Source organism: Homo sapiens, chromosome 5 (assembly GCF_000001405.40).
Source record: "Homo sapiens chromosome 5, GRCh38.p14 Primary Assembly".
NCBI classification, from domain to species: domain Eukaryota; kingdom Metazoa; phylum Chordata; class Mammalia; order Primates; family Hominidae; genus Homo; species Homo sapiens.
This window is the reverse complement of record NC_000005.10, coordinates 78,383,930-78,407,715: the sequence shown is the minus strand read 5'-3', so window position 1 is coordinate 78,407,715 and position 23,786 is coordinate 78,383,930. Positions and strand designations below refer to the sequence as shown.

General features: G+C 38.5%; 1 protein-coding gene across 4 annotated transcripts in view, besides 2 other annotated features; it reads right to left on the bottom strand.

Annotated features, from left to right (window-relative positions):
* Positions 1–23,786, bottom strand: part of SCAMP1 (secretory carrier membrane protein 1) — a 120,123-nt gene that overhangs the window by 73,024 nt on the left and 23,313 nt on the right. For 3 of the 4 annotated variants that reach the window (NR_110885.2, NM_004866.6, XM_011543727.4), the window contains exon 2: positions 18,802–18,879. The exons of the other annotated variant lie outside the window; for it this stretch is intronic. Coding sequence is in view for 2 of the 3 variants with exons in the window: in NM_004866.6 (NP_004857.4) it covers positions 18,802–18,879 (78 nt within the window). In the remaining variant the exon portion in view is untranslated. The remainder of the gene's footprint in view (positions 1–18,801; positions 18,880–23,786) is intronic. 4 annotated transcript variants of the gene reach the window in all.
* Positions 7,944–8,144: a silencer, noted in NCBI's record as "peak5302 fragment used in MPRA reporter construct". NCBI's record gives its function as "represses an SCP1 promoter by STARR-seq MPRAs in K562 erythroleukemia cells {active_cell/tissue: K562}" and the evidence as "EXISTENCE:reporter gene assay evidence [ECO:0000049][PMID:32103011]".
* Positions 15,587–16,165: an enhancer, noted in NCBI's record as "H3K27ac hESC enhancer chr5:77687375-77687953 (GRCh37/hg19 assembly coordinates)". NCBI's record gives its function as "activates a minimal SCP1, AML or CMV promoter by ChIP-STARR-seq in naive H9 embryonic stem cells {active_cell/tissue: H9 hESC(naive)}" and the evidence as "EXISTENCE:reporter gene assay evidence [ECO:0000049][PMID:30033119]".

Here is a 23,786-nt window from a genome sequence, read left to right as displayed (position 1 = left end):
AAAAATGTAAATATGAGAAATTATAAGACATGATGATTGAGAAGGTCTAACATACAATTAAGAGGTCCAGAGGGGAAAAAAAAAAAAACAGGATAAGGGAGAGTCAATGTTTAAACAGTATATGAAGACACTAATTCTCAGATTCAAAACCCTAAAACACAAGCCAAATTTTAAAAATAGTAACACTCAGATACATCACAATGAAAGAGCAAACCTTAAAAACTGCAAGAAAAAAAAAAGGATAATTCCCACACAAAGGAAGGTCACCTATAAACCACTGTGTATCCTTTCACCTAAGATCCTAAGACTGAGCTAGCTTCTCAACAGCAACAATGCAAGCTCAAGTATAATGTGCTAAATGGCTGAGAGAAAATAACTGATAATGCAGAACTCTAAAACCAGTCAGATCAGCTGTTTGAGAACCAAGATGAAATAATAACAATAAATACTGAAAAAAGTACTACCAATAGACCCTCACTAACAGAACTTCTACTTTAGGGATAACAACAAGAAAAAAATGACAGGAGAAGAAAAATTTGAGATGCAAAAAGGAAGACCTCTCTATCTCACTGGGCACTCCATAGTATATCATCTTCATTTTACATGGACCAAAACTCCAAATACAGAAGGAAAGCCAACCTATTGGCAGGGAAAAAGAAAATACTCTACTGCAACCAAATGTACTACAGTAAGCTCCTCTCCTGACAAACCTAGAACTGTGTCTGCCACTACTTTGGCTGTACCTGGGAAAAACTTGAAGTACTGAGAAAAGCAGAGTGTGCAGAGTTGGAGACAAAGAACAAAACTGGAACAGACCTGGAAGAGAATGAGAGAACTGACCCCGGAGGCAGAATCAAAAACAAAGTCTGGCAGAGCAAGGCTGTATATCCTCATCCCATGGATGGATGAAATTTAACAAACTGGGAATAGACTACATGCTTAAATATCTCTTAGAAAAATAAGGGTTATAATTATTTTATATTTTAACACGAATTACCTTACTACATTTGCCTCTTCAGTTTGGCTAGGACAAACAGATAAAAATTATAGAAAAATATATTGGCTCAAGAGAATTAAGAACATTATAATAATCATGATTATACAATAGTGGATGGACTGCTCTATAATATAGTAAGCTCTCTGCACTGGAAATTCCAAGGGTGATTCATTTTAAATAAACGACTACCCAAGGTCTCTTCAAGGCACAGGAAGTTCATGAGTTGTCTTTGTCATGCATAAGCAAATATATTTTCTCCTTCCAGGTTTTCTTCCATATTCTAAACACCTATTCCAGAAATTTCTTCTTGCTTTCTCCAGCTCTTTCTCTTCCATCTCTAAACCAAAAAACAGCCAAAGTGTATGTAGGGTCTAAAAGAATGTTACTTAATTTATATTCACAGACATCCCGTATCAGAAACCCCAGGTACTTACTGAAAATGCAAACTCTGGGCCCTTCTATGAACCTATTGATTCAGAACCTTAGGGATTAGAAGAGAGAATTTGTACTTTTAACAAACTACCATTTTTAACAAACTCCCCATGGTGATTCTTAGACACCTTAAAATTTGAGAACTCCCCTCTAAGGCAACAAAGTTTACAGCTTCTATAAAACACTGTTTTATTTCTTTCACTTAAACTGCCAAAAGGATCCTGAAACTTTCTGCAGCTTTCACTCACTTTAACAGCCGTTGATTCAGCAAAGAAATGACTGTGGCTATGCTTAACACAGATTCCCTTGTTATTAAGAGTGCTGAAAGTTTACACATACTAATCTCAGAATCAGGACAAACAGACATAACTTTATTAGACTAATCACTTTAAAATAAGGTTTTTGAAGATTAGGATAATTGTCTGGGGAAGGACGTGTGTAATAGGAAAGAAGAAATATACCAGTATGGGAGTTTTCAAATAGATAAAGGAACATAAAAGAACAAATGTGACCATATCCATTCATTCATACATTCATCAAACATTCATTGGTCAACTACAATGGGCCACAAACATATACAGGAATTGGGATACATTAATGAACAAAATAGGCAAACACCCCTACTCCCATAAAGCTACATTCCAGCAACAGAAGATAAACAATACACATATTGAACAAATACATTCTAGAGCATCTTAAAAGGCAATCATTTTACGGGACAACAACAAAAAGACCAGAGTGAAGAGGTCATGAGTACAGGCTGACAGAATAAGTTTATAAAGGTGATTGGGGAAGTCAATATTTGAACAAAGACTTCAAGGAGGTGAGAAAGTAAGTCTTGCAGATTATCTACCTGGGGGGAAGACCATTTTAAGCAGAGGTGACAACCAGTGCAAAGTCAGGAGAATGCATGGAATATGTGAGGAATCAGCGTGCTAGACAGGAATACACAGGGAGAGGGTGCGACAAGATGAAGAACAAAGAATATTAGGGATCAGATTAAAGGCTATTTTAAAGACTCATGGTTTTTACTCTGAAAAAAATTAAAGCAAGTAAAGGGGACTTTCAGTTTCCAGTTTCATGTATAAGGAGTTTAGAATTTACCACTCCACCCTAACAACAAGTGAAAAGATGAACAAACTAAAAAATCAGTAATTCATTCTGGATCGTTAAGAGATGTGAGGACACAGGGCAAATTGCTGACCCATGACTGCAGAAATAGGTCAATACAAGGAGTAACAATTTGCCAGAGCAAAAGCTCTCTAGCAGAAACCACTGCAAGAACCATTACTGGGGTAGAAAAACCTTAACTGTAATTAAGAAATTGTTGGAGGCTCAGCATAGACAACACTGAGAGTTAAAATCTACAGGGGAACCCATTCATGTGGTGAGTCCCCTCGCACTTTTGTTTTATCTCCAGGAACTCAACTCATAGTACATGGAGAAAAAAATCCCCTCCTTCTTCTAACAAGTGGAGTGGGGAAGAACCATTTTTGAAAAACACCAGAGCACTCTGTTCTTAACAAGGCCTCCCCTCAGGAGAAACTATTTAACCAGTGCCTAACCTGTTGGGGCTTATCAGAGCCTAACTCACCTGGGGGAAGGGAAATACCCAACTGCAGCCAACTCTAGCCATTCTGTCCCACCTAAGAAAGAAGAAAACAACTTCGAAACATTTGTGAAGTCCATAGACTCAATAAAAGACTGAGACCTAATCACAGGACTATAGAGTGCTTCTGAACACCTTGCCACCACACAACTAAAGACCTAATTACAGCAATTCCTTTTACCCAGTACATCATGTCAGCCTAGCAAAAAAAAAAAAAAAAAAAACCTGTAAGGCTGGGCACAGTGGCTCACACCTATAATCCCGACACTTTGGGAGGCTGAGGCAAGAGGACTGTTTGAGCCCAGGCGTTTGAGACCAGGCTGGGCAATATAGTGAGACCCCGTCTCTAAAAAAATAAAAAAATTAGCCTTGGTGGCACATGCCTGTAGTCCCATCCACCTGGGAGGTCAAGGCTGCAGTGAAATATTAAATATTTTTAAATATATGTAAGTTCTGTAGAGAGAATGAGAATAATATAGGTCAGAAACTTGGATCCACATAAAGCAAGCATGAGCATACAAGAAATAGACGAAGTTTAAAACCCTTTTTTTTTTTTTTTTTTGAGACAGGGTCTCACTTTGTCACTCAGGTTGGAGTGCAGTAGCATGATCACAGCAAATTGTAGCCTCAAACTCCTGAGCTCAAGCAATCCTTCTGCCTCCTGAGTAGCTAGGACAACAGGCATGCCCACCATCCCTTTTTTTTTTTTTTTTTTTTTTTTTTTTTTGAGACAGAGTCTCACTCTGTCCCCTAGGCACGATCTTGGCTCACTGCAGCCTCCGCCTCCTGGGTTCAAACAATTCTCCTGCCTCAGCCTCCCAAGTAGCTGGGACTACAGGCGCATGCCACCACACCCAGCTAATTTTGTATTTTTGGTAGAGACAGGGTTTCACCATGTTGGCCAGGCTGGTATCAAACTCCTGACCTCAAGTGATTCGCCCGCCTCAGCCTCCCAAAACGCTGGGATTAAAGGCGTGAGCCACTGCACCAGGCTGATGCCTGGCTAATTTTTGTTCTTTGTTTTGTTTTGTTTTGTTTTGTAGAGACAGGATCTCAATGTGATCTCACTACATTGCCTAGGCTGGTTTTGAATCCCTGGCCTCAGGCAATCCTCCCACCTTGGCCTCCCAAAGCTGATTACATGCATGAGACACCACGTCTTATTTTTCTTATTCTCAAATGGTCTAAGAGAAAACAGTTGGTTCAAAATAATAACAGCAACAATGTATTCAATTATGGGTTCTTCTGCAAATATCTTGTGTGTGTATATATATACATATATATGTTTATATATGCTTATATATCAGCGAAATGAATGACAGCAATGATACAAAGATGGGAGGGAGGAATCATATTCTTATTATAAGGCACTCACACTACCTGTGAAACAGTATAGTTATTTGTATGTAGGTCTGGATTTGTTATAAATGTATATTGCAAACTCTAGGGCAACCAGGAAGGAGATAAATTATAATCATATAAAATGTTCTATTAAACTCACCAAGAGGGCTGGGCACAATGGCTCATGCCTGTAATCCCAGCACTTTGGGAGGCCGAGGCAGGCAGATCACTTGAGGCCAGGAGTTTGAGACCAGCATGGCCAACATGGTGAAACCCTGCCTCTACGAAAAATACAAAAATTAGCCAGGTGTGATGGCAGGTGCCTGTAATCGCAGCTACTCAGAAGGCTGAAACAGCTTGAACCTGGAAGGCGGAGGTTGCAGTGAGCTGAGATCGGGGATTGAGCCACTGCACTCCAGCCTGGGTGACAGAGTGAAACAGTCTCAAAATAAAACAAAACAAACCACCAAGAGTAGAAGACAAAAAGAACAAGGGCAACAAACAGAAAACAGCAATCAATATGATATATATTAACCCAACTAAATCAATAATCACTTTGAACATCAACGGTCTCAAGGCACTAATTAAAAGATTATGAGATGATCAAAAAACAAGACCCAACTATATGTTGTCTATAAGAAACCCACTTTAAATATAAATAAACATATGGATTAGAAGTAAACAGAAAAATATACCATGCTAACACTGATAAAAAATTTCAGAAAAAGCAGACTCAAAGCAAAGAAAGTTATTAGAGATAAAGAAGGGCATTAAATAATGACACATGGGTCAATTCTCCAAGACATAGCATTCCTTAATGTACATCCACCTAATGACAGAGCATCAAACTACAAGAGGCAAAAACTAATGGAACTGCAAGGAGAAACAGATGAAACTACTATTATAGTTGTAGACTCAAACACCCCTCAAATCAGAAACGGACCGATCTAGCAGGCAAGAAATCATTAAGAACATAGCTGAATTCAACAATACCATCCGTTGATTGGATATAATTAACACCTATCAACCACTTCATCCAACAGCAGAAACACATTCTTCTCAAGTTCACATGGAACACTCACCAAGACAGAAGACATTCTGTAACATAAAAAACACCTTAACAAATTAAAAAAAAAAAAACAAATATAGTATTTACTCTCAAACAAGGGAATTAAATGAGAAATCAATAACAAGAAGAAAACTGAAACATCCCAAAATATGTGAAGATTAAAAAAGATACTTCTAAATAACACAAGTCAGAGAAGAAATCTCAAGAGAAATTTTAAAGTATTTTGAGCTAAGTGGAAAAAAAAATGTACATCTTATCAAAATTTGTGGGATGCTGTGAAAGCAGGGCTTAGAGGAAAATGTATAGCATTGAGTGCATATATTTGATAAGAAAGATCTAAAATCCATACTCCAAGTTTCCATGTTAGGAAATTAGAAAAAGAAGAGCAAATTAAATCCAAAATAAGCAGAAGGAAAGAAATAAGAGCACAAGTCAACGAAATTAAAAACAGAAAATCAATAGAAAAAAATCAACAAAATGAAAACCTGGCTTTTTCAAAAGATCGATAAACTCAATAAGCCTCTAGCCAGGCTCCCTAAGGAGGAACAAAAGGGAGGACACAAATTACTAATATCAGAAATGAAGGAAGAGACATCCACTAAGGTCCCATAGACATTAAAATGATAACCAAGACATACTATAAATAACTCTATGCCCACAAATCTGATAACCTACAAGAAATGGACCAATGCCTCGGAAAATGCAATTTGTGACAACTCACAGAAGAAGAAACAAGCTATCTAAATAGGCCTCTATTTATTAAAGATATTGCCTCAATAAGTAATAACCTTCCAAAACAGAAGGTAACAGGCCCAGACGGATCCACTGGTGAATTCTACCAATCATTTAAGGTAGAAATTTTACTAATTCCATACAGTCTCAATCGGAGGAAAGAAGCAAAAGAAAGACTTCCTAACTCATCCTATGAGGCTAGAAATACCCTCATATCAAACCAAAGACACTACAAAAAAACTATAGATCAATATTCTCTGATGAACATGGATGCAAAAATCTCCAACAAAATATCAGCAGATTGAATCCAACCATATATGAAACGAATCACATACAAAACCAAGTGGGATTTTCTCCAGGTATCCTAGGCTGGTTCAACATTCAAAATTCAATTAATGTAATTCATTACATCAATAGGCTAAAAAAGAAAAATCATATGACCATATCAGTAGATACAGAAAAAGCATTTCACAAAATCCAACACACATGCATAATAAAACCATTCAGCAAACTAGGAATAGAGGGGAACTTCCTCAATTTGATAAAGAACACCTACAAAAAGCCCAATGCTAACATCAACTTATTGGTGAGAAACTAGAAGCTTTCCAGCTAAGATCAGGAAAAAGGCAAGGATGTCCCCTCTCACCACTCCTTTTCAACATTGTACTAGAAGTCCTAACTAATGTAATAAGACCCAAAAAAAAGGTATGAAGATTAAGAAGAAACAAATAAGACTGTCTTTGTTCACAGATAACAAGATCATCAACATGGAAAATTCAATGGTACTGACAAAAACCTCCTAGAACTAATAAATGATTATACTAAGGTTGCACAACACAAAGTTAATATACAAAAGTCAATCACTTTCATATGTAACAGCAATGAACAAGTCGAATTTCAAATTAAACCCATACCATTTATATAAACATCTCCCAAAGTAAAACAGGCATAAATCTAATGAAATATGTATACATTCTATATGTGAAAAACTACAAAACTGATGAAAGAAATCAAAGAAGAATAAAAGATATTCCATGATCATGGATAGGAAGACTCAACACTGTTAAGATGTCAGGTTTTCCCAACTTGATCTACAGATTCAACGCAATCCCAATCAAAATCCCAGCAAGTTATTTTGTGGACACTGACAAACTAATGTTGAAGTTTATGTGGAAAGGCAAAAAACCCAAAACAGTCAACACAATATGGAAAGAGAAGAATAAAGTTGGAAGATTGACACTACTAGAGTTCACTTACTATAAAGTAACAGTAATCCATACAGTATAGTATTGACAAAAGATTAGAAAAACAGACCAACAGGACAGAATGGAGAGCCCAAAAATAGACCCACATAACTACAGTCAACTGATCTTTGACAACTGAGCAAAGGCAGTACAATGGAACAGTCTTTTCAACAAATGGTGCTAGAGCAAAATTAATTCAAAATGGATCACAGAAGCCAAGCATATGCCTATAGTCCCAGCTACTAGGGAGGCCAAGGCAGAATTCCTTGAGCTTAAGAGTTCAAGACCAGCCTGAGCAACACAGCAAAACCCTGTCACTAAAATAAACAAACAAATATTTAAAAATGGATCATAGGCCTAAATATAAAATGCAAAACAATAAAACTCCTCGAAGATAACACAGGAGAAAACTTAATTGACCTTGGGTATGGTGATGACTTTTTAGATAGAACAACAATGGCATGATCCCTGAAAGAAATAATTGAAAAGCTGGACTTCCTTAAAATTAACACTCTGCAAAAGACAATGTCAAGAGAATGAGAACAGAAACCACAGACTGGGAGAAAATATTCTCATCTGATAAAGAACCGTTATCCAAAAGATACAAGAACCCTTAAAATTCAACAATAACAAACCAATTAAGAAATGGACAGAAGACCTTAACAGAAACTTCATAAAAGAAGATACAAAGATGGCAAGTGAGCACATAAAAAGGTGCTCCACATCATATGTCATCAGGGAAATGCAAACTAAAACAATGACACCACTACACACCAATTAAGATGGCCAAAATCCAAAACACTGATAACACCAAATGTTGGAGAGGATGTAGAGCAACAGAAACTCTCATTCATTGCTGGTTGGAGTGCAAAATAGTACAGACTTTGAAAGATAGTTTGGCAGTTTCTTACAAAACTAAACATACTGTTACCATATGGTCCAGTCAGTCTATTCCTTGGTATTTATCCAAAGGAACTGAAAACTTACATCCATACAAAAAACCCACATACAGTTATTTATAGCAGCTCTATTCATCACTGCCAAAATTTGGTAGTAATTAAGATGTCCTTGAGTTTGTGGATGGCTAAATAAACTGTGGTACATCCAGACAATAGTATGTTATTCAGCATTAAAATGAAATGAGCTAATAAGCCATGAAAAGACAGAGGAACCTTATTATGCATACTACTAAGTGAAAAAAGCCAATCTGAAAGGCTACATTATGTATGATTCCAACTATATGACACTGTAGAAAAGGCAAAACTATGGAGACAGTAAAAAGATTAGTGGTTGCCAAGGTCTGGGAAGGGGCAAAGAGATGAATAAGTACAGCACAGAGGATTTTCAAGGCAATGAAACTATTCGGTATGATGTTATAATAATGGATATAGGTCATTACACATTTGTCCAAACCCACAGAATGTACAACATCAAGAATGAACGCTGGGGCCATGCGCGGTGGCTCACGCCTGTAATCCCAACACTTTGGGAGGTTGAGGCAGGGGGATCACCTGAAGCTAGGAGTTTGAGACCAGCCTGGCCAACATGGTGAAACCCCGTCTCTACTAAAAATACAAAAAAGTAGGCGGGTGTGGTGGCGCAAACCTGTAATCCCAGCTACTCAGGAGGCTGAGGCAGGAGAATCACTTGAACCCAGGAGGTGGAGGTTGCAGTGAGCCAAGATCGCACTCCAGCCTGGGCGACAGAGCAAGACTCTGTCTCAAAAAAAAAAAAAAAAAAAAAAAAAAAATAGTGAACCTTGGGCCAGAAACAGTGACTTATGCCTGTAATCCTAGCATTTTGGGAGGCCAAGGTGGGAAGATTGCTTGAGCCCAGGAGTTTGAGGTCACAGTAAGCTACATTCATGCCACTGCACTGAAGCCTGGGCAACAAAGTGAGACCCTGTCTCAAAAAAAAAAAAAAAAAAAAAAAAAAAGAGGTGAACCCTAGGATAAACTATAGACTTTGGGTGATTATGGTGTGTCAATATAGATTCACCAATTGTTTGATAATGGTGAAGGCATAATGTTTTCAAGGTTCAACTATGTTGTAGTAACTACTTCATTTATTTTTATGCTAGGTTTTATTTATCCATTCATCAGTTGATAGGAACATAGGCTATTTCCAATTTTGGGTTGCATTTGTGTACTGGTTTTGATGTGGACATATGTTTTCACTTCTTTTGGGTATGTACCCAAGAGTGGAATTACAGGGTCATATGGTAACTCCACGTTTAACAAATGTCTAGAGCTAGCAAACTGTTTTCCAAAGCAGCTGCACCATTTTACATTCCCATCAGCAGTGTGTGAAGGTTCCAATTCTCCACATCCTTGCCAATACTCGCTATTGCCTGACTCTTTGATTATAGATATCCTAATGGATGTGAAGTGGTATCCTCCTTGTGGTTTTCATTTGCATCTTGACAGCTAACAATGTTGAACATTTTTTCACCTGCTTATTGGCCATTTATCTTCTAAGGAGAAACATCTGAGTCCATGTGGACTCACCACTCCTGGTCAATTTGTGTATTTTTGGTAGAGATGGGGTTTTGCCATGTTGGTCAGGCTGGTCTTGAACTCCTGACCTCAAATGATCCATCCACCTCAGCTTCCCAAGGTGCTGGGATTACAAACATGAGCCACCACACCCAGCCTGGTTGTCTTTTTAATATTGAACTGTAATAATTTAATATATATTCTGGATACAAGTCTTTTATCAAATATGTGATCTGCAAACATTTTCCCATTCTGTGAGCTGTCTTTTCACTCTCTTGATAGTGCTCTTGGACAAAAAGTTTTAAATTTTGATGTCCAAATTGCCTGTTTTCTCTTTTGTTGTTTGTATTTTTAGTGTCACATCTAAGAAACCATGGCCTAACTAAAGGTCATGAAGATTTACTCTTATGTCTTCTTCTAAGAGTTGTATAGTTTTAGTGCTTACCTTTAGGTCTATGATTGAGTTAATTTTTATGTATGGGATGAGGTAGGAGTCCAACTTCATTCTACTGTATGTGGACATCCAGTTATTCCAGCACCATTTACTGAAAAGATTATTCTTTCCCATTGGATTATCCTGACACTCTTGTCAAAAATCAGTTGATCATAAATTTAAGTGTTTATTTCTGGGCTGTCAGTTCTATTCCACTGATTTGCATGTCTATGCCAGTACCATATTGTCTTGATTACTGTAACTATAACAAAACTTTATCTTAACCTCCTTTCCCTTTCCAGCCCCCATTTCTCTCATCCTCTTCCCTAAAAAAAACTCTCTGCTCTCCACTGCTGCAAAAATCCTATGAAGAGTTGTCTATTTGCGCTTTTCCCAGTTCTTTCTTCTTAAAGATACTTTAGTAAGGCATTTGCTCCCAACACTCAACCAAAACTACACTATTCAAGATAGCTAATGACTTCTACATTGTTAAATTCAATGATAAATTTTCTGTCTTAATTTTATTTGCTCTATCATCAGCATTGATAGTTTATCACTATCTCATTATTGAAACACTTTCTTCACTTGGCTTTCAGAACACTAAGTTGTTTCTTCTCAGTCTCCTTTATTTCTTTTCTCCTCCTGCCCTTCCACCTCCAATATTCGAGTGCACCAGGAGTTTAGGTCTTGCTTCTCTGCAATACATGTTCACTCAATTGATGATTAAATCCAGTCTTATACCTTTAAATACCATCTAAGGGCCAATGATTCCCACATGTATATCTTCCAGCCCAGACCTCTCTGATGAACACCAGATTCATACAATCAACTGCTTACTAAACATGTCTATCTGGATGTCTTGGAAATTGCAAATCCAACATGTCAAAAACTGAACTGAACCTGGTCAGTTTTTGGTTTCCTGCTTCACTAACTTTTTAACTTTATTTTTCTAATGCAGTTTTAGGTTCACAGCAAGATGGAAAGGAAGGTACAGAGATTTTCCATATATCCCTGTCCCAACACATGCACAGTCTCCCCCATTATCAATATCTCCCACCAGAGTGGACATTTGTAACAACTTATGAACCTTCACTGACACATCATCATCACCCAAATCCACAGTTTACATTAGGGTTCACTCTTGGTGTTGTACATTCTATGGGTTTGGACAAATGTATAATGACATGTATCCATCATTATAGTATCATATAGAGTAGTTCTGTCACTCTAAAAATCCTCTATGTTTCAAGGATAGGGAGGGATAGGTATTCTGGGGGTTCTACTTTGACCCTTTTAAATGGGGATAAAGAGACAGATGGAAACACACTTAGTCCTAATATACCATATCTTATTCCCAGTGTGGCAGGTAGACTCTAAAGTGTACCCTAAGGATTCTTACCTCTTGATGTTCACATCTTTTTAATAATGCCCTTCCCTTGAGTGCATACAGCACTTGTGACATGCTTCTAACCAAGAGAATATGGTAAAAATGATGGAATGTCACTCCTTTGATTACGTTACATTATATAAACTCCCTCTTCGCAGACTGGAGTAAGATTCTCTGAAGGCTTGCCAAAATAGGTGGCCATGTTGGAGAGGCCCAGGGGGCAAGAAACTATACAGCCTCTGGAGGCTGTGGACAGCATCTACAATCAATGGTTGGCCTCCAGCTGATAGCCAGCAAAAAGCTAGGACCCTCAGTCATACGACCACCAGGATATAAATTCTGCCAGCAATCTATATAAGCCTGGAAGCAGATTCTTCCCCAATTAAACCTCTAGATGAGAATGCAGCCAAGACAACAGCTTGACCACAGCCTTGTAAGACCCTGAGCAAAGGACCCAGTAAGTAATGCTGTATCTGAACTCCTGAGCCACAGCTAAGTTTATGGTAATTTGTTACACAGCAACAGAAAATGAATATATCCAGTGTGAAGTATTCATCTGGATCCATTGAAGGGGATAAACATACCTAGAGAAGCCAAGCCTTATGATCACCCACAGTCTCTCTTGACTCTATACAATGGGGAGTCAGTCTCAATAGGGTCGGGGGTTCATGAGTTAATTAGACTTTGGCTAGAGCAAATGGCACATTAGAAGATAAGAGTAAAAAGACAGTCTGGAGAAAATAAACTGGTACTCTGTACTTTCTGCTCAATTGTTCTGAAAGCCTAAAAAAATGGTCTACGAAAAAAATTAAAATAAAAACAAAAAGTCTGAAGTCAAACCGTGGATGGTCTCACATGCCAAACTACTGAGTAGGTAATGCATAATCATTTCTAAGGAAGGTAGATGACCTAATCTGACCTCTGCTTTAGGAAAATAAGTCCAGTCACAGTATAAAAAGCGATTTGAAGAGGAAGGCTGGAAGTAGATAACTAGATAGGTCATTCTATTATTTCACATGAGTGCCTGACTTAGGACAGGTAAGAAAGAATGAAAAGAACAGACAGGTAATATCTCCAGCAGGTATAAGTGACAGGATGTGGCAACTGATTAGATGTAGGAAAAGAAGCTGTTAGCGCCAAAGACAAATCGGGTATTTCTAGCCAACGATACTAGGATGTAAGTCAACAGTATCATTAAATGAGACTGGAAACAAAGAGGTTCCAGAAGGGACAGATAATGAGCTCCAAGAATACAAAACAGTGAGAAGCAGAAGGCAAAGAGAAAGAAAAAAGAAGTGCACAGCGAGAGAAAATAAAGACAGGTGTTAAACTATACAGAATGCTTTGGCAGTATTAAAGATGAGTAAACTACTATGTACAATTATATCCAGTCAGCCCCTGCAGCTAGATGCTTTAGTCCTAATTTTCAAGAGATACTAATACTAAATTATTTAACTCAGCTAGGCATGGTGGTTCATGCCTGTAATCCATTTTGGGAGGACAACACAGGAGGATCTCTTGAGTCCAGGAGTTTGAGACCAGCCTGGGCAACAAAGCAAGAACCTGTGTCTATAAAAAGATAAAATTATTTAACTCAACATTTTCCTCCCTGCCTTCATTGTAATATATATATATATAAAAAAAAGATTTTCGAAGAGGTTATATGGTTTGCCTAAAGTTACCAACTGCTTAGTGACAGGGCCTAGGTTAAAATGCAGGTCCTCTTTAGACTCAGTCTACTTCATGTCCTGAATTATGTTAGAGGCAGTACTTCCTTACATAAACCAATTATCCATGTCCCTTTATGGTCAGAGATGACCATCTGGGCATACCCCCTCACACTGTCAGTACCTGGAATTTTCTCTTGTGGTTCTTCTCTCTGCTCTATGTGACAGAAATCATATATGGCATCAACTAGCGAAACAGAAAAAGAACCAGGCAGACAATCCCTAACGAAAAGAAACATGACAGTAAACTAGGCCCCAAGAAATGTCTCTAAGGATTTGTCAGCAGTGCTGCACTTCTCCCACACACAGGTGTCCCTATCCCTTACCTTCAATACCCACCAAAAAAAATTCTGTCTAAAGCCACAAATGCCCTCACCAGTGGCCAAAACTAGTGAGAATCAAGCAGCAATAGGCATTTTCAACTGTTACTTAATTGAAAAGAAAAACATTCCCCATAAACATACATCAATTCTTAAGGATAATTTCTCTATTTATGCATTAGATTTTAGAGGGTAGGCCAGAAAACCTACCTACCATGCACAACATAATTTCAGTAGAAAAATGCATTTTGAATTCAAACAAAAAAAATTATTTCATAACTCAAGACTATCTTCCATTTTTATAGTACATCTCAATTCAGACTAGCCACATTTAAGTGCTCAAGAGGCTTTCATGACACTGTCAATAAAATGACTTAGTCTATATTATAAAGTGTCTTGTTACAACTCCTTTCTCTGAATGTGTAAAATGGTGAATATATAAGTTATAAAATTATGCAGGCCAAGCACTGTAGCTCACACCTAAAATCCCAGCACTTTGGGTGGCCAAGGCAGGAGGATCACTTGAGGCCAGGAGTTTGAGACCAGCCTAGGCAACTTACCAAGACCTCTTCTCTACAGAAAATAATTAGCCACATGTGGTAGAGTATACCTGTAGTCCTAGCTACTTGAAAAGCTGAGGCAGGAGTATCGCTTGAGCTCAGGAGTTTGGGGCTGCAATGAGCAACGACTGTGCCACTGCACTTCAGCCTGGGCAACAGAGTGAGACCCTATCTCTAAATATATATATATGTATATAATTACTCAAGATTTCCATACTGTAGCCTTCCTTAAATAACTTAAGGTTTCCATTCAAACAGAAAAATTAAGTACAGAAGAAAACAATTTTAATAAAAAGAAGAACAGGGCAGGAACTTTCTAAATCTTAGCAAGATTACACACTCAGGCATTCTGCTAGAAGATCTTCCTTCTTGACCTCAAGTAGCTCACCATATCCTGATACAAGAATCAAGAAGCTTCAGTTTCACAAACACTGTCCTATGATAAAAATACGAATACCACCAATTAACTAAAACAGGACCAAGGTCTAATGCTAATATACCACTTAAATCAATTATCTAACTACACCTAATCTCTTTGGAAAATAATCACAGCCACAAAAATGGACAAATTTCTGAAATCACATTATATAATAAACAAAGGAATATTTAATATTTAAACTGTGTTTTCCATCATGTTAACAGTGCAGAGGAAAATGCACCCAATTATCATAAGAATTTTCCTGGTTCTGACACCATATCACTGTTCATCAAATCTAAGGGAAGTGTTTCATTGTAAATTGGCTTCTCACTATTGCCTAGCTCCTTGCTCAAGACTATTCACTTTCAGAAAATCTTTTTGTAACTATAAAGTCTCAACATTTACAATCATGATTTATATTTTGTTTTATTTGTTCTGGATATATCTTCTTTGTGTCTGTGTAATTTTTAATTACACCAATTAGGTGAGAAATCTTTCAAAGACCAGGACTATTTTTTCTATTTCTTAAGCAACTATCTCCAAAGATAGCACTAGCAAAATGAAAAAGGCAAAAGCTTTACAGATAACACGAGTTAATAAGCCAGTTCTGCCACTTACTTGCTAGCTGACCTGTGTCTCAGATCTTTATTAGTAAAACGGAAATTTAAAATATCAATTTTGAATATTATGAGAATTCAATAAGATAATACAGGCAAAGCACATGGCACAAAGTAGACAGCTTGATGAAGAATACTACAACTGATAAGAGTAATCTAAAGCTGCTACTATATAAAAATGCTAAACATATTTCTTGCTAGTAAAGTTTTGCAAACATTTATATAAAAATCTCTTTTCGCTCTCCCTCTCCCTCTCCCTCTCTTTCCACGGTCTCCCTCTCCCTCTCTTTCCACGGTCTCCCTCTCCCTCTCTCTCCCTCTCCCTCTCCCTCTCTTTCCACGGTCTCCCTCTGATGCCAAGCCGAAGCTGGACTGTACTGCTGCCATCTCGGCTCACTGCAACCTCCCTGCCTGATTCTCCTGCCTCAGCCTGCCGAGTGCCTGCGATTGCAGGCGCGCGCCGCCACGCCTGACCAGTTTTTGTATTTTTTTGGTGGAGACGGGGTTTTGCTGTGTTGGCCAGGCTGGTCTCCAGCTCCTAACCGCAAGTGATCCGCCAGCCTCGGCCTTCTGAGGTGCCGGGATTGCAGACAGAGTCTGGTTCACTCAGTGCTCAATGGCGCCCAGGCTGGAGTGCGGTGGCGTGATCTCGGCTCGCTACAACCTCCACCTCCCAGCCGCCTGCCTTGGCCTCCCAAAGTGCCGGGAGTGCAGCCTCTGCCCGGCCGCCACCCCGTGTGGGAAGTGAGGAGCGTCTCTGCCTGGCCACCCATCGTCTGAGAAGTGAAGAGCCCCTCCGCCCGGCAGCCACCCCGTCTGGGAAGTGAGGAGCGTCTCCGCCCTGCAGCCACCCCATCCGGGAGGGAGGTGGGGGTCAGCCCCCGCCAGGCCAGCCGCCCTGTCCGGGAGGGAGGTGGGGGGGTCAGCCCCCCGCCAGGCCAGCCGCCCCGTCCGGGAGGTGAGGGGCGCCTCTGCCCGGCCGCCCCTACTGGGAAGTGAGGAGCCCCTCTGCCCGGCCAGCCGCCCCGTCCGGGAGGGAGGTGGGGGGGTCAGCCCCCCGCCCGGCCAGCTGCCCCGTCCGGGAGGTGAGGGGCGCCTCTGCCCGGCCGCCCCTACTGGGAAGTGAGGAGCCCCTCTGCCCGGCCACCACCCCGTCTGGGAGGTGTACCCAACAGCTCATTGAGAACGGGCCATGATGACAATGGCGGTTTTGTGGAGTGGAAAGGGGGGAAAGGTGGGGAAAAGATTGAGAAATCGGATGGTTGCCATGTCTGTGTAGAAAGAAGTAGACATGGGAGACTTTTCATTTTGTTCTGTACTAAGAAAAATTCTTCTGCCTTGGGATCCTGTTGATCTGTGACCTTACCCCCAACCCTGTGCTCTCTGAAACATGTGCTGTGTCCACTCAGGGTTAAATGGATTAAGGGCGGTGCAAGATGTGCTTTGTTAAACAGATGCTTGAAGGCAGCATGCTCGTTAAGAGTCATCACCACTCCCTAATCTCAAGCACCCAGGGACACAAACACTGCGGAAGGCCGCAGGGTCCTCTGCCTAGGAAAACCAGAGACCTTTGTTCACTTGTTTATCTGCTGACCTTCCCTCCACTATTGTCCTATGACCCTGCCAAATCCCCCTCTGTGAGAAACACCCAAGAATGATCAATAAAAAAAAAAAAAAGAAAAAAAAATCTCTTTTCATTCTTTATCGACAAAGTTTAAAAATGGTCTTGTTCCCATCTCCACCTCCTAGAAATCAAGTTAAAAGAACTACATACAGTGGAATATAATTTGCCAGCTCTTCTTTTTTTCCCTTCAACAACTACTACCAAATTGCACTCTCACATATTCACAGCACTAATTCATTATAAGGTTGAATCATATGAAACCACCATTTTTATATATCAAAACTGGTCAGCTTATTGGCCATTTCACATGTTTTAACCTGTAATTTACATGCTCAAAGAGCACTTTAGTGATCCCAACCTGGAATTAATTTGCTACATATAAGCAAAGGCTGTTAAATGAGGGCTTTGAAATAAAGAGAAATTTAAAAGTTCATTCTTATTTTAATGCTTTTACTTTTGGACTGTTTTTACCAACAATACTATTGATACCAAATGTGTGGGGTTTTTTCCCCCAACACCAACCAATTCCCCAACTCTTTGGACACCATCTAGATGTCCTACAACTCAGTTCAATTCTGATACTACCTACCTGGACTATCACAGATCCCACAGGTTAAGGGCTCATTTCAGACACCAGTCACAAGTCCCAAGTCACCAGTCACAAGTCACAGATTGCCGCCCATACTGACTAACTTTCTATAAACTGGGGGTTTCCATGACCCTCTCCTTGGATTTGATAATTTTCTAGAAGCGCTCTCAGAACTCATGGAAACAGTTTACTTACTATTAGCAGCTTACTAAAGGACACAACTCAGGAACAGCCAAATAGAAGAGATGCACAGGGCAAGGTAACAAAAGTATTGGAGGCAGACCCAAATACAGGAGATGAAATTATTTGCCACAGAAATTCTGGAGATAGTCTCAACAGAATCTACCTCAACAGTTTTCAAATCTAGGTCACAATAAAATCATCAAAAGAACTTTAAAAAAAAAATTGCCCTAACTCTAAGAGATGAGGGCCATAAGGGGTAGTGTAATAAAGTCCCCTAGATGCTTCTCATATACATCTAGAGTAGCAAAACACTGTTTTATGAGGATTTTTTTCATACTTGTACATTTTATAAATCAAAACTAAATTTTGAGGCCAGGCGCCACGGCTCACATCTGTAGTTGCAGCACTTTGGGAGGCTGAGGTGGGAGGATGGATTGAGACCAGGAGTTCAAGACCAGCCTGGGGAACATAGAAGACACTGTCTCTACAATAAATAAATTTTTAAAAGAAAAAAATACTAAATTTTGAGGGGAAAAATATGCTTTCCTAGTCTGGGTAAAGTTCCAGAGGTTCTACTCTGCCAGAACAGAAGGCTAGTACTATTCAGAATAATCTAATTCAAATGACAATCATACAAACATTCATGGTACAGTTCTACACAGTTTCCACGTAAAAAAAAATCACCCCACATTATCAGGCAGACAACATGTATACCAAGAAATATTTCTCTAATTCCTAGTATTTCAAGTAATGTGGAAAAGTTTACATTTTAGAAAGATTATTGTGATTTAATCTGTAAAACATAAAAGAAAATTTGAAGTATTTCACTAGGATCATCATGGTAATCTTCAATTACTACTAATATTTCTACATATTAAAAAAATCCAAGTTTGCTGAATACTAAATAAAACATTAACAATTTGTTTTATTTAAGTGTAAGCAATCCACTAAAAAAGAAATCATAGTTAAAATAGAATTCCTACTGAATTTCAATTTAAACATTTAAAAGCAAGAATAATCTTACTGTTCTAGAATCCGAGAATGGATTATATTCATCAAGTCCTGGTGGAACATTTCTTGTCACTTGTGTAACTGATGGATCCTAGAATAAAATTCAAAGGAGAAAAAAAAGATTACTTATCCTTTAAAAAATAATTTTGATATTTACATACCATTTGCTTTATCTATACTTGTGGTCATGCAGCAAGGCTAACAGAGGAAAATAAAAGAAGGCTCTCAGATTTACTGTCTCATTTCAACAATGGTGAAATTTAAACCCATACAACCTTCACATTCTCAAAGGAAAACAAAAACTGAGTTAGATTCAAATCAGCTGCAAGCTATTACATCAAGATAAAAAGTAGACCACCTCTTAATAGCTGTGTGGAACTGACTACACAAAAGCATCTCAGGTAGACCCACCATCATTTCCTTTGGCCTCGACAAAGAGTTCACGTTCCCCCTTTTTATAACAGCTTCAGTTTGTCCCACTGAAGATTTCATACTGCATTACAAATCAATGTCATACAGCCAACATCTAGAGCATTCAATATTAAGTAACTCTTGTTTTATTCTACTCCAATATCTCTACTGTAGTTTATTTCACCACATGATCATAGACTGTCTTCCCTTTTCCAAGTATAATACATGATCACACCATTCCAATTTTTCAAATCTTTTAATAGTAGGCTTTCATGAAAATAACCAAATCACACAGTGAGAGGGAAAATGGCAGATAGGAGGCAATACTAACTTGCAGCTCCCACTTAATGGACAGAGCAGCACGTGGAGACCTACATCGTGAACCTCTTGCTCCAAAAACTATGCAGGAACATACCAGGAAATCCGAGAGAATCCACAGACCCTTTGAAGAAGGTGGATTGCTGCTGCAGGTTCCTGGGACAGCCGAGGAACGCCGAAGACAAAGGACATAATCTCTTGGGAGCTCTATGGTCCTGCCACCGCCTGATCCTCCTCCTACTACTGCAGCTAATGTGCTCTTAAAAGTGCCACCTCCTGGCTGGAGGCCAACCAACACAAAACCAGCGTACTTAAAAATATCCACTTCACTCTGCTGCTACCTCCACGGGAACAGGTGTTGGTATCCATGGCTGACAGACCTGAAGATGGATCACATCACAGGACTCTTTGCAGACAGTCCCCAGTAACAGCCCAGAGCCCAGTAGCTCCACTGGGTGGCTTGATCCAGAAGAGAAATAACAATCACTGTAGTTCAGCTCTCAGGAAGCCCCATCCGTACAGGAAAGGGAGGAGCACCACATCAAGGGAGCACCCCGTGGGACAAAAGAAACTGAACAGCAGCCCTTGAGTTCCAGATCTTCCCTCTGATATAGTCTACCCAAATAAGAAGAAACAAAAAAAACAATTCCAGTAATATGACAAAACAAGGTTAACACCCCGAAAAGATCACACTAGCTCACCAGCAATGGATCCAAACCAAGACAAAACCTCTAAACTTCCAGAAAAAAAATTCAGAAGGTCAACTTTTAAGCCGATCAAGGAGGCACCAGAGAAAGGTAAAGGCCAACTTAAAGAAATTAAAAAAAAAAAAAAAAGATACAGGATATGAATGGAAAAATTTTCAGTGAAATAGCATAAATAAAAAACAATCGCAACTTCTGGAAACCAAGGACACACTTAGAGAAATGAAAAATGTACTGGAAAGTCTCAGCAATAAAATCGAGCTAGTAGAAGAAAGAACTTCAGAGCTCAAACACAAGGCTTTCGAATTAACCCAATCCAACAAAGACAAAGAAAAAAAGAGTTTTAAAAAATGAAAAAAGTCTCCAACAAGTTTGGGATTATGTTTAACAACCAAACCTAAGAATAATTGTTCTCGAGGAAGAAGAGAAATCTAAAAGTTTGGAAAACATATTTGAAAGAATAATTGAGGAAAACTTCCCCGGCCTTGCTAGAGATCTAGACATCTAAACACAAGAATCTCAAAAAACACCTGAGAAATTCATCATAAAAAGATCATCACCTAGGCACATAGTCATCAGGTTATCTAAAGTCAAGACAAAGGAAAGAATCTAAAGAGCTGTGAGGCAAAAGCATCAGGTAACCTATAAAGAAAAATCTATCAGATTAACAGATTTCTCAGCAGAAATCCTACAGGCTAGAAGAGCTGAGGTCCTACCTTTAATCTCCTTAAAGAAAACAATTATCAGCCAAGAATTCTGTATCCAGCAAAACTAAGCTTTATAAATGAAGGATACATACTTTTTTCCAACAAAGAAATGCTGAGAGAATTTGCCACTACAAAGCCAGCACTACAAAAACTATGAAAACGAGCTCTAAATATTGAAACAAATCCTCAAAATACACTAAAATGGAATCTCCTTAAAGCATAAATCTCACAGGCCCTATAAAACAATACAATGAAAAAAAAAAGAAAAAAGAAAAGGTATTCAGGCAACAAATAGCACAATGAATAGAACAGTACCTCACATCTCAATAATAACGTTGATTGTAAATGGCTTAAATGCTCCACTTAAAGGATACAGAATGGCAGAATGGATAAGAATTTACCAACTATCTGCTGTCTTCAAGAGACTCACCTGACACATAAGTACTCACATAAACTTAAGGTAAAGGCCTAGAAAAAGATATTCTATGCAAATGGACACCAAAAGCAAGCAAGAGTAGTTATTTTTATATCAGACAAAACAAACTTTAAAGCAACAGCACTTAAAAAAGACAAAGAGGGACATCATATGATGATAAAAGGAATAGTCCAACAGGAATATATCAAAATCCTAAATACATATGCACCTAACACTGGAGGTCCCAAATTTATAAAACAAGTACTACTAGACCTAAGAAATGAGATAGACAGCAACACAATAATAGTGGGGGACTTCAATACTCTACTGACAGCACTAGACAGGTCATCAAGACAAAAAGTCAACAAAGAAACAATGGATTTAAACTATACCCTAGGACAACCAGACTTAACAAATATTTACAGAATATTCTACCCAACAACTGCAGAACATACAAGCATACATTCTCTTCATCAGCACATGGAACATTCCCCAAGATAGACCACATCATAGGGACAAAAAAAGTCTCAACAAATATAAGGAAATCAAAATTACATCAAGTACTCTTTCAGACCACAGTGGAATAAAATTGGAAATCAACTCCAAAAGGAACCCTTAAAACCATAAAAATACATGGAAATTAAATAACCTGCTCCTGAATGATGACTGGGTCAACATTAACATCAAGATGGAAATTAAAAAATTATTTGAACTGAACAATAATAGTGACATAACCTATCAAAACCGCTGGGAAATGGCAAAAGTGGTGCTAAAAGGAAAGTTCATAGTATTAAATGCTTACATCAAAAAGTCTGAAACAGCACAAATAGACAATCTAAGGTCACACCTCAAGGAACTAGAGAAACAAGAACAAACCAAACCCAAACCCAGAAGAAGAAAAGAAGTAACCAAGATCAGAGCAGAACTAAATGAAATAGAAACAAACAAATACAAAAGATAAAAGAATCAAAAAGCTGGTTCTTTGAAATGAGAAATAAAACTGATAGACCATTAGCAATATTAACCAAGAAAAAAAGAGAAAAGATCCAAATAAGCATAATTAGAAATGAAACAAGAGACATTACAACCAATACCACAGAAATACAAAGATCATTCAAGGCTACTACAAACACCATTACACAAATAAACTAGAAAACCCAGAGGAGACAGATAAATTCCTGGAAATATACAACCCTTGTAGAATAAGCCAGGAAGAAATACAAACTCTGAACAGACCAGTAACAAGCAGTGAGACTGAAATGGTAATTAAAAAGTTACCAACAAAAAAAAGTCCATGGCCAGATGGATTCACAGCTGAATTCCATCAGACATTCAATGAAGAATTGGTATCAATCCTATTGGCACTATTCCGAAAAACAGAGAGGGAATCCCCCCCTAAATCATTCTATGAAGCCAGTATCACCCTAATACCAAAACCAGGAAAGGACATAACAAAAAAAGAAAACTACAGGCCAATATCCCTGATGAACAGAGATGCAAAAATCCTCAACCAAATACTAGTTAACCAAATTCAACAGCATATCAAAAAGATAATCCACCATAATCAAGTGGTTTCATAAGAGGGATGCAGGCATGGCTTAACATCCACAAGTCAATAAATGTGATACACCACATAAACAGAATTAAAAACAAGAATTACCTGATCATCTCAATAGACAAAAAAAAGCATTTGACAAAATCCAGTATCCCTTTGTGAAAAAGCCTCAGCAAAATCGGCATAAAAGGGACATACCTTAAGGTAATAAAAGCCATCTATGACAAACCTACAGCCAACATTACACTGAACGGGGAAAACTTGAAAGCATTGCCCTTAGGAACTGGAACAAGACAAGGATGCCCACTTTCACCACTTCTATTCTACACCGTACTGGAAGTCCTAGCCAGAGGAATTAGACAAGAAAAAGAAACAAAGGGCATCCAAATTGGTAAAGAGGAAGTCAAACTATTGCTGTTTGCTGATGACATGATCATATACCTAGAAAACCCTCAAGATTCATCCAAAAAGCTCCTAGAACTGGTAAATGAATTCAGCAAAGTTTCAGGAAACTAAAACATTTGTGTACAACATTAATGTACACAAATCAGCAGCCATACTATATACCAAAAGCAACCAATCTAAGAATCAAATCAAGAACTCCACCCCTTTTAAAATAGCTGCAAAAAAAAAAAAAGAAAAAAAACTTGGGAATATACCTAACCAAAGAGGTGAAAGACCTCTACAAGGAAAAGTACAGAACACTGCTGAAAGAAATCATAGATGACACAAACAAATGAAAACACATCCCATGCTCATGGATGGGTAGAATCAATATTGTGAAAATGACCATACTGCCAAAAGCAATCTACAAATTCAATGCAATTAACATCAAAATACCATCATCATTCTTCACAGAACTAGAAAAACAATCCTGAAATTCATATG